We start from the raw sequence: 13,563 nt of genomic DNA on the forward strand, positions 1-13,563 counted from the left end.
AAGACTCGTGTCTGATTTTCTGTAATACTGTGGATGAGAGACAGGAGGGTGCCATGGCCTTGCTGTGGAGGCCAGACCAGCTCCTGGCTCTCAAGGGCTATTTATTATCCCTTCTCACTCCTACTTTTAACCACTGCACTGTATGGTCTCTCTAAATTGAAGAGAGTCCATATTCGAAATAAATATAAAATTATTATTTTGGTAAGAATAGAGGAAATACACATGGCAGCTGATTTGTATAGTTTTGCGGTGAGCAATTTAGGTGAAGTTCTCTTGAAGAAGTTATATTTGCATAGGAACCTGAGTAGCCAGCAGGAGATAGGGCAGGAGGCAAAGAAAGTGCTGTCATATGGGCAAAAGTCCTGAAGTCTGTAAAGGAGAGTAGGGGGGAGTGTGAGGGAGGGAGGGGCACTTCCAGGCCTGACTCAAGTTCTTCCTTAACTGTGAAGCCTTCCATGCACACTTCCGTGCTAGTCAGGTCCTAAGGGCTTTACAGGTGCTGTTTCCTTTAGTCTTTTCAACCTCAACGTGGGCATTAGATTCCCATTCTACCAACATGGAAACAGATTCGCAAAGCGGTAAGTTTTCCAAGGCAATACAGCAAGGGCCTTTGATGCTGTGTCCATCCCACCTTCCCAACTTGCTGCTCAGACCCTTCCCACGAAGGCTGTTGATGACTCAGCCTCAGAGAAAGCTCCCTGCAGTTGCAGACTCTCCCTTTTGCTCAGTTCATAGGTCTGGTGTTGATGCTGCCTCAGCCAGGGGATGTGTGGAGAGATAGTTGTAGGGTGCAGGTTTGCAGGTTTTTACAGCAATTTATTGAGGTACGATTTACACAGAGTAAAATGCACAAATCTTAAGCAAACAGCTTGATGCCTTTTTCTATATCTATACATATGGGATCCCCATCTAGATAAAGATATAGAGCATTTCCATCATCTTACAGATTCTTGCTGCCCCTCGCCAAAGAGAAACACTATCCAGATTTCTATCAACATAGATTAATTTGGTCTGTTCTTCAACTTCATATGGTAGAATCATCTAGTATGCAGTTTTTGTGTCCTGCTTCTTTTACTTAGCGTGTTTTTTTGAGATCCATCTATACTGCATATCGCTAGTTCACTTTTTTTTTAATTGCTGAGTGTATTTGATTTTATACCACCAAGGGGCATTTGAAAATCGGATTCTCCCTGCTCCTGCCTTAGCCCCTGGGCTTACCTTTGGTACGTACTTACCTTTGGTAGGCCCCAGTACTTACCTTTGATAACAAAATGAGGGGAACCCTGAGGACCTAGACCAACGAAGGCCAAAGTTGGCATGTTCGTGTTCCTGGGGAATCATAAGCTCCATGAATATCTCTTAGTTCACTCCTGCCCCTGTTTGTGGCTTTCACCTTGATGGAGAGCTTCTGGCTGAGAGTAGAGTTCTACTGGTTTACCGTGTTGTTGCCATTCTCTATACAAGTTTGCAGGGATGAGAAATCATAAAACCTGCCCACATCCATATTCAACTGCAGGAAGAGACTCTGAACCTGTCCATTTGTCCCACAGGCCCAAGGGAAAGGCAGCTGCAGTCCACAGGACCCGAGCAGAATCCGGGGACATCAGAACTGACAGTCCTCCTTGTGGGGAAACGCGGTGCTGGAAAAAGTGCAGCAGGAAACAGCATTCTGGGGAGGCAGGCCTTTCAGACCGGATTTAGTGAGCAGTCAGTAACCCAGAGCTTCTTGTCTGAGAGCAGAAGCTGGAGAAAAAAGAAAGTTTCGATCATTGATGCTCCGGACATCTCATCTTTAAAGAACATTGACTCAGAAGTTAGAAAACACATCTGTACAGGCCCCCATGCCTTCCTGCTGGTGACACCACTGGGCTTTTACACTAAGAATGATGAGGCAGTGCTGAGCACCATCCAAAACAATTTTGGAGAAAAATTCTTTGAGTACATGATCATACTTCTTACCAGGAAAGAAGATTTAGGGGATCAGGATCTAGATACGTTCTTAAGAAACAGCAATAAAGCTCTCTATGGTCTCATCCAGAAGTGTAAAAACAGATATAGTGCCTTCAACTACCGGGCAACAGGAGAAGAAGAGCAAAGGCAGGCGGACGAGCTCCTGGAAAAAATTGAGAGCATGGTGCATCAGAATGGGAACAAGCATTGTGTTTTCAGAGAAAAAGGTAAAACTGTGAATAGGATATATATTTTTACATATATCATTTAAAAATAGGTATAAAATATATAAGAACTTTTTATTTTCTTTTTTTTCTTTTTTTTTATTATACTTTAAGTTTTAGGGTACATGTGCACATTGTGCAGGTTAGTTACATATGTATACATGTGCCATGCTGGTGCGCTGCACCCACTAACTCGTCATCTAGCATTAGGTATATCTCCCAATGCTATCCCTCCCCACTCCCCCCACCCCACAACAGTCCCCAGAGTGTGATATTCCCCTTCCTGTGTCCATGTGATCTTATTGTTCAATTCCCACCTATGAGTGAGAATATGCGGTGTTTGGTTTTTTGTTCTTGCGATAGTTTACTGAGAATGATGATTTCCAATTTCATCCATGTCCCTTCAAAGGACATGAACTCATCATTTTTTATGGCTGCATAGTATTCCATGGTGTATATGTGCCACATTTTCTAAAAGGCATAGAGAAGATAAAAAGGACAGGTCTCCTGTTCCTGTGTTAGTCTGCTTAGGATGGCAGCCTCCAGCTCTATCTATGTTACTGCAAAAGACAGGATTTCATTCTTTTTTATGGCTGCCTATTATTCTATGGTGTATATGTACCTGTACCTAAAATAAAAGTTGAAATGAAACAAAAAAGAAGTTGAAACTGGAAGAAAAATAAAGGAAGGATAGGTCTGTTCTATGGACTAACTCTTTTCTCTTTCTTTGCTTCTCAAATTGTACTGAAGTTATAGCTTTTCCATGCACATTCTCTTGAACCGGTCTTTAATTTTTTCATGATCTTTACTATCTCTTCAACTGGATAGTGTGAGTGTCTTGAAGAAAGGAGCTGATGCTTTCCAACCCTTTGTTTCCCCACAGTGTACTGTTGCCCAGAGCTTGGCACACTGCTCTCTTTACTACTTAAGAAGGGCTCCTCATCCACTTAGTGCTACACGTTCAGTTGACCTATGCTGAGGTCCTTCCCATTCTTACTCATCCCGTTTTTTTTTCTGCTTCAAACATCCTCACCCAGGAAGAAGATAAAACCCAAAGGAGCATATTTTCTTATTGAACCCTCCTTTAGAAGTATAGATACATGGGAAAGTCAGGAGAGGCTTTGTGTAGAAAGCCCAATTTGAAACAGGTTTTAGAGAATGGGTAGGGATTAAATGGCTGAGCAGAAAGCTGGAAGATATTCCAGAGAGTACACCAGCAATTTGAAGCAAAGAGGTAGGACTAAGCATGTCACTTGTTAGGGGACAAAAAAGAATAATCTTGGTGGAGATGGGGGTTCACAGCTCTAAAGGACATCTTCCAAGAACATTGAAGATTAAGGCGTTGAACATTAAGAACACTGAATTAGAGAATATGGGATGGGGAGTGGGGCCGGATTTCAGAGGTACATGAGAAACACACCCTCTGTAGGTACAGAAGTAGGGACTGAAATATATGACAAATATGGGAGTGTTGGAAGATTAAGCTATTGTTCATCTGCTGGGCATAACTATGAAGTTGAAGTTTCAGCATAAACAGGTTAATAATTTCCCCTTGAAGGAAGAGCATGGGATGTGCTTTCTTCCTCCTTTGCATTGAAGTAGATATTAGCTATTTGATATGAAATTCATAATGGAAGAGAACTACGAAGAGACTTGAATGAGCACTGGACTGTCACAGTGCAAGTGCAAAAGCATAAGAACGATCTCCAAAGAACGCATATTGTAAGGTCTCTATGTGTCTGTAAATTCCATTTATAGGGAAATTCATTCTCTTTCTCCATCATGGACACCACACACCCAACAGTGTTAGTGGATATTCATTATTATAACCATGCGGTTTCTTCTGACTCATCAGTGAAAGGCAATTAAGTTCAATGTGGTTTTAATGAGAAATGAATTTTTACATGTCCTAACTAAGGAAACTGGTAATCTATCAGTGATATGTAGAGTTTCTTTTTCATGAAAGTCAATTTTACAGAATAATTCTTTAAATACTGTAAGGAGATGTTGCTATAGTTAGCAGTAGTTGGGAGTGAGAAGATGTAGTTGTAACAGGAACAGAAGACAAAGGGATGAGATGTGTAGACGGAACCCAGCTGAGGGGAGCAGAGAGTAAGAAGGCCAGGGGACACTCACAGGTGCCAGGGAGTCTGTCTGGAAGGTGCTGCAAAAAGGGAGCAGAGCCGATTCAGTGATAGGAACAGTGCCACATTGGTGGATGAACCCTGGACGGAGACTGTATGTAGTCCAAGTCCTGCCATGAGTCCACAGACTGAGTGAACTGGGCCAAGTCATTCCCGTGTTTGGAGATCCCCCTGCTTGGGTGAGAAGGAGGTCTTGATGCTGTTTGAACATGCTGTTTACTTTAGTGATGTAATCTTGCTTCATGGGATAACTTTAAAATCCAATTTCAGATCAGCCCATGGTCACGAATCTTTCCCACTTTCCTTTGACAGAAACCCTGAACATTGTCCTTGTGGGGAGAAGCGGGACTGGGAAGAGTGCGACCGGGAACTCTATCCTGGGGAGCCTCGTCTTCACCTCTCGGCTCCGGGCCCAGCCAGTCACCAAGACCAGCCAGAGTGGCAGGAGGACATGGGACGGACAGGAGGTGGTGGTTGTGGACACTCCTTCCTTCAACCAGATGCTGGATGTCGAAAAGGACCCATCCCGGTTAGAAGAGGAGGTCAAGCGCTGTTTGTCCTGCTGTGAAAAAGGGGACACATTTTTTGTCCTGGTGTTCCAGCTGGGACGATTCACTGAAGAGGACAAAACAGCTGTGGCGAAACTGGAGGCCATCTTTGGAGCAGACTTTACGAAATACGCGATTATGCTGTTCACCCGGAAGGAAGACCTAGGGGCGGGGAATTTGGAAGACTTCATGAAGAACTCAGATAACAAAGCCCTTCGGCGCATTTTTAAAAAGTGTGGGCGGCGAGTTTGTGCTTTTAACAACAAAGAAACAGGCCAGGCCCAGGAAACCCAGGTGAAAGCTCTTTTAACAAAGGTCAATGATCTGAGAAAAGAAAGTGGGTGGTCCGGGTATCCCCATACACAGGAGAACGTCAGCAAACTAATTAAAAATGTCCAGGAAATGTCCCAAGCCGAAAAACTCCTTAAAAATTTAATAGGTATTTTACAATAGGTAGCCGAAGTGCCTGGGGTCTCTTCAATTAGAGACACCCTCAGGTTGGGGGGAGGGGCGGGGCATGGTACAACCTGTGGGAAGGGAAGCGGGTTCATGGCTTTGAGGGCCTGAGAGGCAAATGCATCCCGCCTTGTGATGTATCAGCTATTTGTAGATAAATAAATTGCAGGTGGGGGCGAATAGTAGGGTATTATAAAGGAGAAAGAAGATACAAGGTGGGGAAATCTGGAAAAAGATTTCAGACATTAGGCTGATAATAAGTGGTAGAATCAAGTCACAAGAATCACCTCACTTGTGTAGGTAGGTTGGAATCAGGATAGACACTGTGATCAAGGCTGAGGCCACCTGGGATGAGAATATAGATAGTCGTACAACAACCCAGGGGATCCAGATACATGAGACCAGGGCAGCGTTCAGCACACTCCTGGGCATGGCGGAAGCAGGAAGCAGACTCCAGAGGGCCTCCCTGTTGTCCAGGGCCGTTGGCTCCCTGAGCTCTCCTGTCTCCTTTGGGATGCGACTTAGGGCTAGAGTGTTCTTTTCTTCACACGTTAGCCATTCCTTACGGCTCTTCACGTTCCACGCCTAGATGTGAAGTGGGACATAGTCTTCCATTGCTGGCTGTCCCTGAGGAAACAGACATGAGTCTTGGAGGTTCTGAATGATTTTATTGCTAATTATCACAGTGACATAGACTAGAACAGAAATTAGAAGCATAGTAAGATTGCCAAAATCAGAGAATCTTGCAAAGTTCTGTAATTCTAAGTGTTGTTCTAGATTTCCTCTAGAGAAGGTTATTAGAATCTCCATTGCGTTTCTCTTTCTCCTTCTCTTTCCCTTGAGGTTAGGAAACAGGTTAAAACTCAGAGAACTCCAATAATAATGGTTTAAAAACATCAGGGGCTTCCTGTATCTCCTGTCAGGAAGCCGAGGAATAAGCAGGCTGGGGCTGGTGGGCGTCAACATCCCAGTTTTGTTCTATCTTTCTGTCCCACCTGCACTGGGATGTGGCTTCTACACTCGAATTTGCTTCTTGGTTTCAAGACAGTGGTGTTCTTTCCATAGCTGAGCAGATTATTTTGAGAGGTGGGTGATATGTGAGAGAGAAATCTGGAACCTTCTTCTGGGTAGATACAGGATAAGATAGATACAGGGTAAAATGTTGAGCACTTTGTACATGCTTTGAGAGCATAATCTTTGTCATCTGTTTTTTTCCCCTAGACAATATCAGGTTACCGTCAACATTAATCCATTTAAAAGGACATGGACTGTTGCCATTAATACTTTTGGATTCCATATAACCCTTAACACAATAACTTCTAGAAAATGTGTGTGCCGTAGACACAAAGAAGGGAACAATAGACACCAGGGTATACTTGAGGGTGGAGGGTGGCAGGAGGGTGAAGATTGAAAAGCTGCCTATTGCGTGTTATGCTGGTTTCCTGGGTGACAAAATTACCTGTACACCACACCCCTGTGACACACAACTTACTCATGTAACAAACCTGTGCATGTACCCCTTGAACCTGAAATAAAAATTGGAAAGTAAAAAAAAGTGTGTAAATATATTTAGTTGAATCAAATAATAAAGATGAATCATTATGAATTCACATTCTCTTTCTGATTTCTATTTTTGTGATTTAGGGAAGCAGCATACCTTCATGAAGAGACAATTGAGATGTTTAGATACCTTGACTCAGGCGAGGTTTTTGTATCTTTGGTGCCTGAGGACCTTCATTTAGACTGGGTGACAGCCATTTGTGTGGCAGGTCCCTGACAGCTCAGTTATCTTTCACTCTGGACATCTAAGTATAGCAAGGACAAATAAATGTAACCAGTATTAGAACCAGAAACATGGGAGGAATAAGGTCTGAAAGGCATTTTGTGCTTCTTCCCTGAGCTTCCCTTCTGCCTGAAGGCAGAAACAAATCCCAGTGTGCTACCTATGGCTGAGCAGGTGACACTGGGAGCTGCACAAGGTGGGTGATGTGTGGGCTAAGCAATGTGGCATCCTCTCACAGGTTGGCTCTAACATACCTTGCTGTTTTCCTTCAGGTCCAAGTCTGAACGGGGCAACAATACTGCTGTGTCAGTTTCTCTGAGAAATACATGCCGAGAAAGAGTTAGGAGCACAAGAGGTTTATGGGGAAAGCTCATGAAAGACAAAAGAGGGAAGAAGCCAAATTGGGCAGGGAAAGCCTTCAGACTGTCATTTAGACTGGACACTTGCAAGAGAAAAGTGGGGAGGAGCTGAGTTGGGCAGGAAGAGCCTGGCAAAGCCCAGGCCAACTCAATAGGGAATTCTGGGGCAAAGACAGATTAATAGCCAAGTCCTGCATTGGACAGACACTAGGAGCTCTGCTGTGCTCCGCTTTAGGCTGGGGACTGGCTGGAGAAAGCATGGCTTCAGCTCAGAAGCTCAGATGGGACCTGACAGTGTTGCAGCTGGAGCTGAATGGCAAGTTTCTTCTTGAAGTGAAAGCCTTCAAGAGTGGCATCCCTTCCTCACTGCCATAATTGGCGGACATCCTCCATGTCTCACTGAAGACCCTCCTTGAGCTGGAAGTCCAGAACTGATATTCTACTCTCTCAAACATATGTGTCTTACCAAGGCCACTATCATGCTGGCCACCTATTGCTTGTCCTGCCTCTCCAATGTGACATCATTGAGGTAATGTGCTAGTTCTCAACTGGAAACAATTTTGCCCTGTAGAAGACATTTGGCAATTCCTGGAGAAATTTTCTTTTTCTTTTTTTGGAGACGGAGTCTTCCTCAGTCACCCAGGCTGGAGCGCAGTGGTGTGATCTGGGGTCACAGCAAGCTCCGCCTCCCAGGTTCATGCTATTCTCCTGCCTCGGGCTGCCGAGTAGCTGGGACAACAGGCGCCCACCACCACGCCCGGCTAATTTTTTTTAAAAATTACTTTTAGTAGAGATGGGGTTTCACTGTGTTAGCCAGGATGGTCTTGATCTCCTGACCTCGTGATCTGCCCGCCTTGGCCCCTCAAAGTGCTGGGATTACAGGCGTGAGCCACCACACCCAGCCTCCTGGAGAATTTTTTAGTTGCCACAACAGGGAGTGGGTGCTACTGGTATGTGGTAAATAGAATCCAGGGATGCTACTGAACATCCTAAGATGCACACGACAGTCCCCCACAACAGAGTTATCTGGACCAAAATGTCAATAGTCCCAAGGCTGAGAGACCCTGATACAGTGGACCAATGTGATAGACTGCAGGATGTACAGATGATCCAGACCTCTTTTGGTTAGAGAGTGGGAGAGGTAACTTCTAAGGAAATGTTTTTTGCCTATTTACAGTGCCTCTGTTTTGCTGATGCACTAAGAACATGCTTATTTTTCACAAAGGGTCATCCAGCACCCCCAGCCTCCTCTCCTTCCTCAGAGCAATCCTTTTCACTTCATTTCTCTCTTTTCCTGCACTGAGCAAGATTTACTGAAGAACAAGGCTTTTGTGATGAACTTAGCATAAAGAGTAAAAAAAAAAAAAATAGTTTCGTGATTCCATGACGACAGAAAGTCCCATAAAATTTGGCTAAATTTCTGCAAGGGAGTCAGCTAAGTTGCTGACATGATCTGTGAAGCCTGCCAGCAAGCTCACTTCCCTAGAAGAATCCCCAGGCCACTTGGCTATGAGCCTCTTCTCCTCCTCCCTCAAATGAAGCATCCACCTTTTCAGTAAAAACCCTCTCCTTCCTAGCTCATCCTTACATTAGCTTGTTCCATGGGCCCACTGGTCCAGCCTCTACCACTAGCACACTATCATCCTCCCTAGCAGATGAAGGCATCGGCAGGCCCACCTCCCGTTCTCCCATGAGAGGCAGCTTGATGTTCATGAGAAACCTCCGTGGCCTTCACTCTTGCACCTCTGTATTTCTGTGAATACACACAGGATGTGCTCAACAGACTGGTGTAAAATCTAGTTGTGAACAGCATGATCAGCATGATACATTTTCCTCTTCAGCTACAAACTTCCTGTTTATTGCTCTTCACTTCACATCGTCCTCATGTATGTTGGTGGGTGGTAGTGTGGCGGGCTTGCGTTTCCTGACCCACAGATTATAGGGCAGCGTGTAGGCTAGACTAAAAGGGGTCAAGCCAGGGCCAAGGTGTCATGCCTAAAAGACCCTCTGGGAATATACTTGTAATTTGTCCTTCAAAAATCATCAGTAACCTGAAGTTTAAAATGACATCATGTCGACAATAATTATGAATGTTTTCCTAGCTTGCAACCCACCTGCTCTTGCAGCACTATGGGCTGCCAGCAAGTTCCTGTTTCCCTCAATTTATTTCTGAGGTTTCCCAATGGATGAGTTACATTAGCTACCGAAAATTTCTGTCACTTGTCACGTGGTGTTTATCTTGGTTTTACTTTTGTCCTGATCCAAATCCTTCTCCACTGGGTGCTGCTTACTAGGCACTGTTAACTACAAAGCATGCCTTTCAATCCTGTTGGCCACCACAGCTTCAAGTCAACACTGCAAGGCCTACTGGGTATTGGAGCATGCGCTAAACACCTTTGGTCTTTCTTCTATTTGTGTTTTCACTGGGTAATGAGGTTCTCACGGGCACCACTTTTGGCTCCACTGGCTGTTCATCCCTTCCTTCCTGGGTTTCCTATTTTGCAAATGGTGCCATAATCTGTCTAGTTGTCCATGACAGAAGCCTTGACTCTTTCTTCCAACAAATAACAAAAGAGTTGTGTATTATAAAGGCTTCATGTCTCTCTGGAGCATCCACTTTTTTTTTTCCTTATCTCTACTCGAGTTATGGTCACCATCGTTTCTGGACTGGATTGTTGCAACTGTTTCTTTGGATTGAACCTGTTTCGAGGCTTGCTTCTCTCAAATTACCTTTCACACTGCAACCATAATGCTATATATTTATAAGACAAATATAATTGTGAGATGATGTCAGTGGGAATAGCAGAATAATGTCCTCCAAAAATCTCCACAAAGATAGAGAACACTGTCAAAAAATAGTCAGAATCAACTCTTTTTTTTTTTTTTTTTTTCAGAACTCTGGGTATCAACCCAACGCTTGAAGCAATATTGAGAGTGTTCATTCAAGAAAAATAGTAAGAATAGTGAGTTCTGTCATGTTTCAACTTGCCCCTTTCTCATTACCCCCAACTCTGTGGTAACCTTGAAAACCAAAAAACTAAAATCACTATGAAAACTAGCAGCCTGGAAGCCACTGAAGGGAGCTGAATGGAGTTAGAGCCCCTTAAAAGTCCCATTTCTAGAAAAATGTCATTATTTGACCTGTCCAGTGGTGCCCTGGGAGATCCCACTTGCAATTCAGGAATGGAAAACCAAATAGTGTATTTTCTCATTTCTTAGTGGGAGCTAAGCTATGAGGACGCAAAGGCACGAGAATGATATAATGGACTGAGGAACTGGGAGGGGGGCAGATTGGGAGGGGGATGAGGGATAAAAGACGACACTGGGTCCAGTGTACTCTGCTTGGGTGACGGGTGCACTAAAATCTCAGAGATCACCACTAGATAACTTATCCATGTAACCAAAAACCACCTGTACCCCAAAAACCATTGAAATAAAAATTAAAAAAGGAACAAGGTAATGAAAAAGAATAAATATAGTACTAATTTAAAAGAAAGAAAAATCCTGAGATCCTCCCCACTGTTTCTAAGAGTCCTCTTTTTCCTCAGCCTTTTCTCTACCTCCTCAGTCCTACAGAATTATGCACTGTTTCTTTGTTGGTGCAAGACTCCAAAAGCCTAAAATGTGGTGTTTTTACTGTTACTTTAAAAAAAAAAAAAAAACACCCTGGTATTCACACACACAATTATTCCTATTCGACTTTTTCTTTTTCCTGTTGTTTTAGTTTCAGGAACTTTTACTGGAGGTTCTGCAGAGAACATGCAGAGTCAGCATGCAGCCTTCCTTCCTGATTTTGATCACTCTTCCTTTTGCTCCTTCCTCTTTTAAAAAAGTGTAAGACGCTTTTATTTGTGTCTTGAGAGACTGTTCTTTAGTGGATAATAATATCTCTGTTTTAGTCTGTCAAGCTTTGGTTAAAAAAACTCATTCCTACCCCCTTCTACATTACATTGAAAGGTAGGAAAAGTCCATTTAATAAACATTTAAAAACCCCACATATTCAGAATATTGGATACATTATAAATGATCATCAAGTATGGGCATAAGAATGTTTAGAGTACCCCATCAGGTTTAACAAGAAGATATATTTATACTGATTTCTGGCATTCAATTTATGTTCTTTAAATACCTAAAAGACTCATTTCTAAATCTTCTAGCTCCTGGAGAAGGGCTATCTCTTTTTGAATTTTCTCCAGCTGCTTTTTTTCCTAGCTGTTTGCCGGTTGCTGCTTGTTATTTCAGTTGTTTGATTGTTTTCAGTTTCCTAGGTTCTCATGTTTTCCCCGCTATCTTAAAATCTCTTCATGTTGGCTGAGAGAAGATATTTTGGGGTGTGTTTCCTGTTTTGCAGTGACTGGCTTCATGCTTCCTTTGTTCTTAGGGGATGTTTTGGGAAATGGCTTGTTATTTGCCCTTGTAGTTTCATATTCTCTGCGGCCCCTCCTCATGTAGCTTAAGATCAATGACTTGTTCATTTCTTCTAAGTGGAGTTCTAAAAGTCATTGCAATATTGGCTCCTCACAGGGTACTTAGAACTGCTTAATAAGTTATTGATTTTATTGGAAATACTATGTCCAGAATTTTTCGCTAACGATTTCTGCATTTGATGGCATGATATTTTTGTGCAGGATAGAGCTAGTATAATGGAAAATCTCGCACCCATTATTAACACATAACCTGGGGGCACATGTAGTAGTTGTTGCAAGACAGGTTCAGTATACAAGTATCAGTCATGTATTACACCATATTAATAGAATGAAGGACAAAAATTGCATGATCATTTCACTGGATGCAGAAAAAACATTGTACAGCTCTTTATCTGGGCACCAAGCAAAGTATGTAAAATTTGAAGCCATAGGTTTGGAAATAAGTTTGTGGTTTTTAACATCCCACAATTTTTCCCCTTGATTTCCAAACCCCTACAGTAGTAATATGTATGAATACAGTGGTAATATGTATGAAGACTATAGTAGACTGTATTACAAGAGCCAGTTCCAAAGTCAAGTTTACAATCACACAGCAAGTAGAGAATTGCTGCTTTGACAAGAGTTTTCCTAGAGGGCCCAACTCATTATAAATGGGATCACTCTTCAGTATTTACATTATAGCATTTTATTTGTTGCAATATAGAAACAGGTTTGTTATTGACAGTAGGAAACTATGGTTTTGTCGACATCTGCATTACCTATTACCAACTCACTGATAGCTTTTAGATTGTATTTTAGTTCTCACTACTAATGTTACTTTGCCTCAAACCAGGAAACAGGTTCCTAGATCTCCCTACACCCATGTATACGTAGCCTGCCTGGGGCTTCCTTTTTCCATGTTATAAGCTGTCTGGAGTAGGCCTATTTTGGGCAGATTCCGGCTAATCTTTCCTCTTCAGGTTTACTTTTCTCAGTCTAATGTGGTATGGATGTTAGCTGAGTTGTACTGTGGGCTCATGCTACTCCATTTAGAAAGAAAATTTGGGAAGCCTCATTTTGAACTTTCATTCTTGTTGTGTTCTTCACTCCAACATCTTAGGGGGCTCTGTGTTTTGGATGAAAAGGTGATCATTTGCCCAACCGACTCCATTCTTTATGTATATATGCTATTTTTTTTTTTTTTGAGACGGAGTCTCGCTATGTTGGCCAGGCTGGAGTGCAGTGGCGCGATCTCGGCTCACTGCAAGCTCCGCCTCCCGGGTTCACGCCATTCTCCTGCCTCAGCCTCCCGAGTAGCTGGGACTACAGGCGCCCGCCAACACGCCCAGCTAATTTTTTGTATTTTTAGTAGAGACGGGGGTTTCACCGTGTTAGCCAGGATGGTCTCGATCTCCTGACCTCGTGATCTGCCCGCCTCAGGCTTCCAAAGTGCTGGGATTACAGGCGTGAGCCACCGCGCCTGGGGTATATATGCTATTATTCAGAGCTATGGAGGAAAGAAGGGGCTCATCGGCACGCTGAATCGAAACAGTAACACCTGGAATGTGAACGGTGGTTCGAAAAGTATTAACATGCTTACTTTTTGGAATTTCTAAGCACATGAACATGGCTAAATTCTGTTGGAGGCACCCGTCTGTCCTCAGGTGAAATTAAGATATGTTTGGTTATAAAA

The 13,563-nt window shown here is 43.1% G+C and overlaps 1 protein-coding gene and 1 pseudogene across 2 annotated transcripts in view, besides 2 other annotated features; one reads left to right on the forward strand and one right to left on the reverse strand.

Moving 5' to 3' along the window:
* The window catches only part of GIMAP8 (GTPase, IMAP family member 8), a 28,764-nt gene extending 21,832 nt beyond the window's left edge, over positions 1–6,932 (forward strand). For both annotated transcript variants that reach the window (NM_175571.4, XM_005249950.5), the window contains 2 exons: positions 1,551–2,177; positions 4,631–6,932. In NM_175571.4, the coding sequence (NP_783161.1) occupies positions 1,551–2,177; positions 4,631–5,319 (1,316 nt within the window). In that variant the 3' untranslated portion in view covers positions 5,320–6,932. The remainder of the gene's footprint in view (positions 1–1,550; positions 2,178–4,630) is intronic.
* Positions 4,434–5,633: an enhancer, noted in NCBI's record as "CDK7 strongly-dependent group 2 enhancer chr7:150173983-150175182 (GRCh37/hg19 assembly coordinates)". NCBI's record gives its function as "activates an origin of replication core promoter dependent on BRD2, BRD4, P300/CBP, MED14 and CDK7 cofactors, with strong dependence on CDK7, by STARR-seq in HCT116 cells {active_cell/tissue: HCT116}" and the evidence as "EXISTENCE:reporter gene assay evidence [ECO:0000049][PMID:35650434]".
* Positions 7,084–7,318: a silencer, noted in NCBI's record as "fragment chr7:150176633-150176867 (GRCh37/hg19 assembly coordinates)". NCBI's record gives its function as "represses an EF-1alpha promoter that drives an FKBP-Casp9 reporter gene in an ReSE screen in phorbol 12-myristate 13-acetate-treated (for megakaryocytic differentiation) K562 erythroleukemia cells {active_cell/tissue: K562(+PMA)}" and the evidence as "EXISTENCE:reporter gene assay evidence [ECO:0000049][PMID:32094911]".
* On the reverse strand, positions 11,598–12,683 carry EIF2AP1 (eukaryotic translation initiation factor 2A pseudogene 1; annotated as a pseudogene).

Source organism: Homo sapiens, chromosome 7, assembly GCF_000001405.40.
Source record: "Homo sapiens chromosome 7, GRCh38.p14 Primary Assembly".
Taxonomy (NCBI): domain Eukaryota; kingdom Metazoa; phylum Chordata; class Mammalia; order Primates; family Hominidae; genus Homo; species Homo sapiens.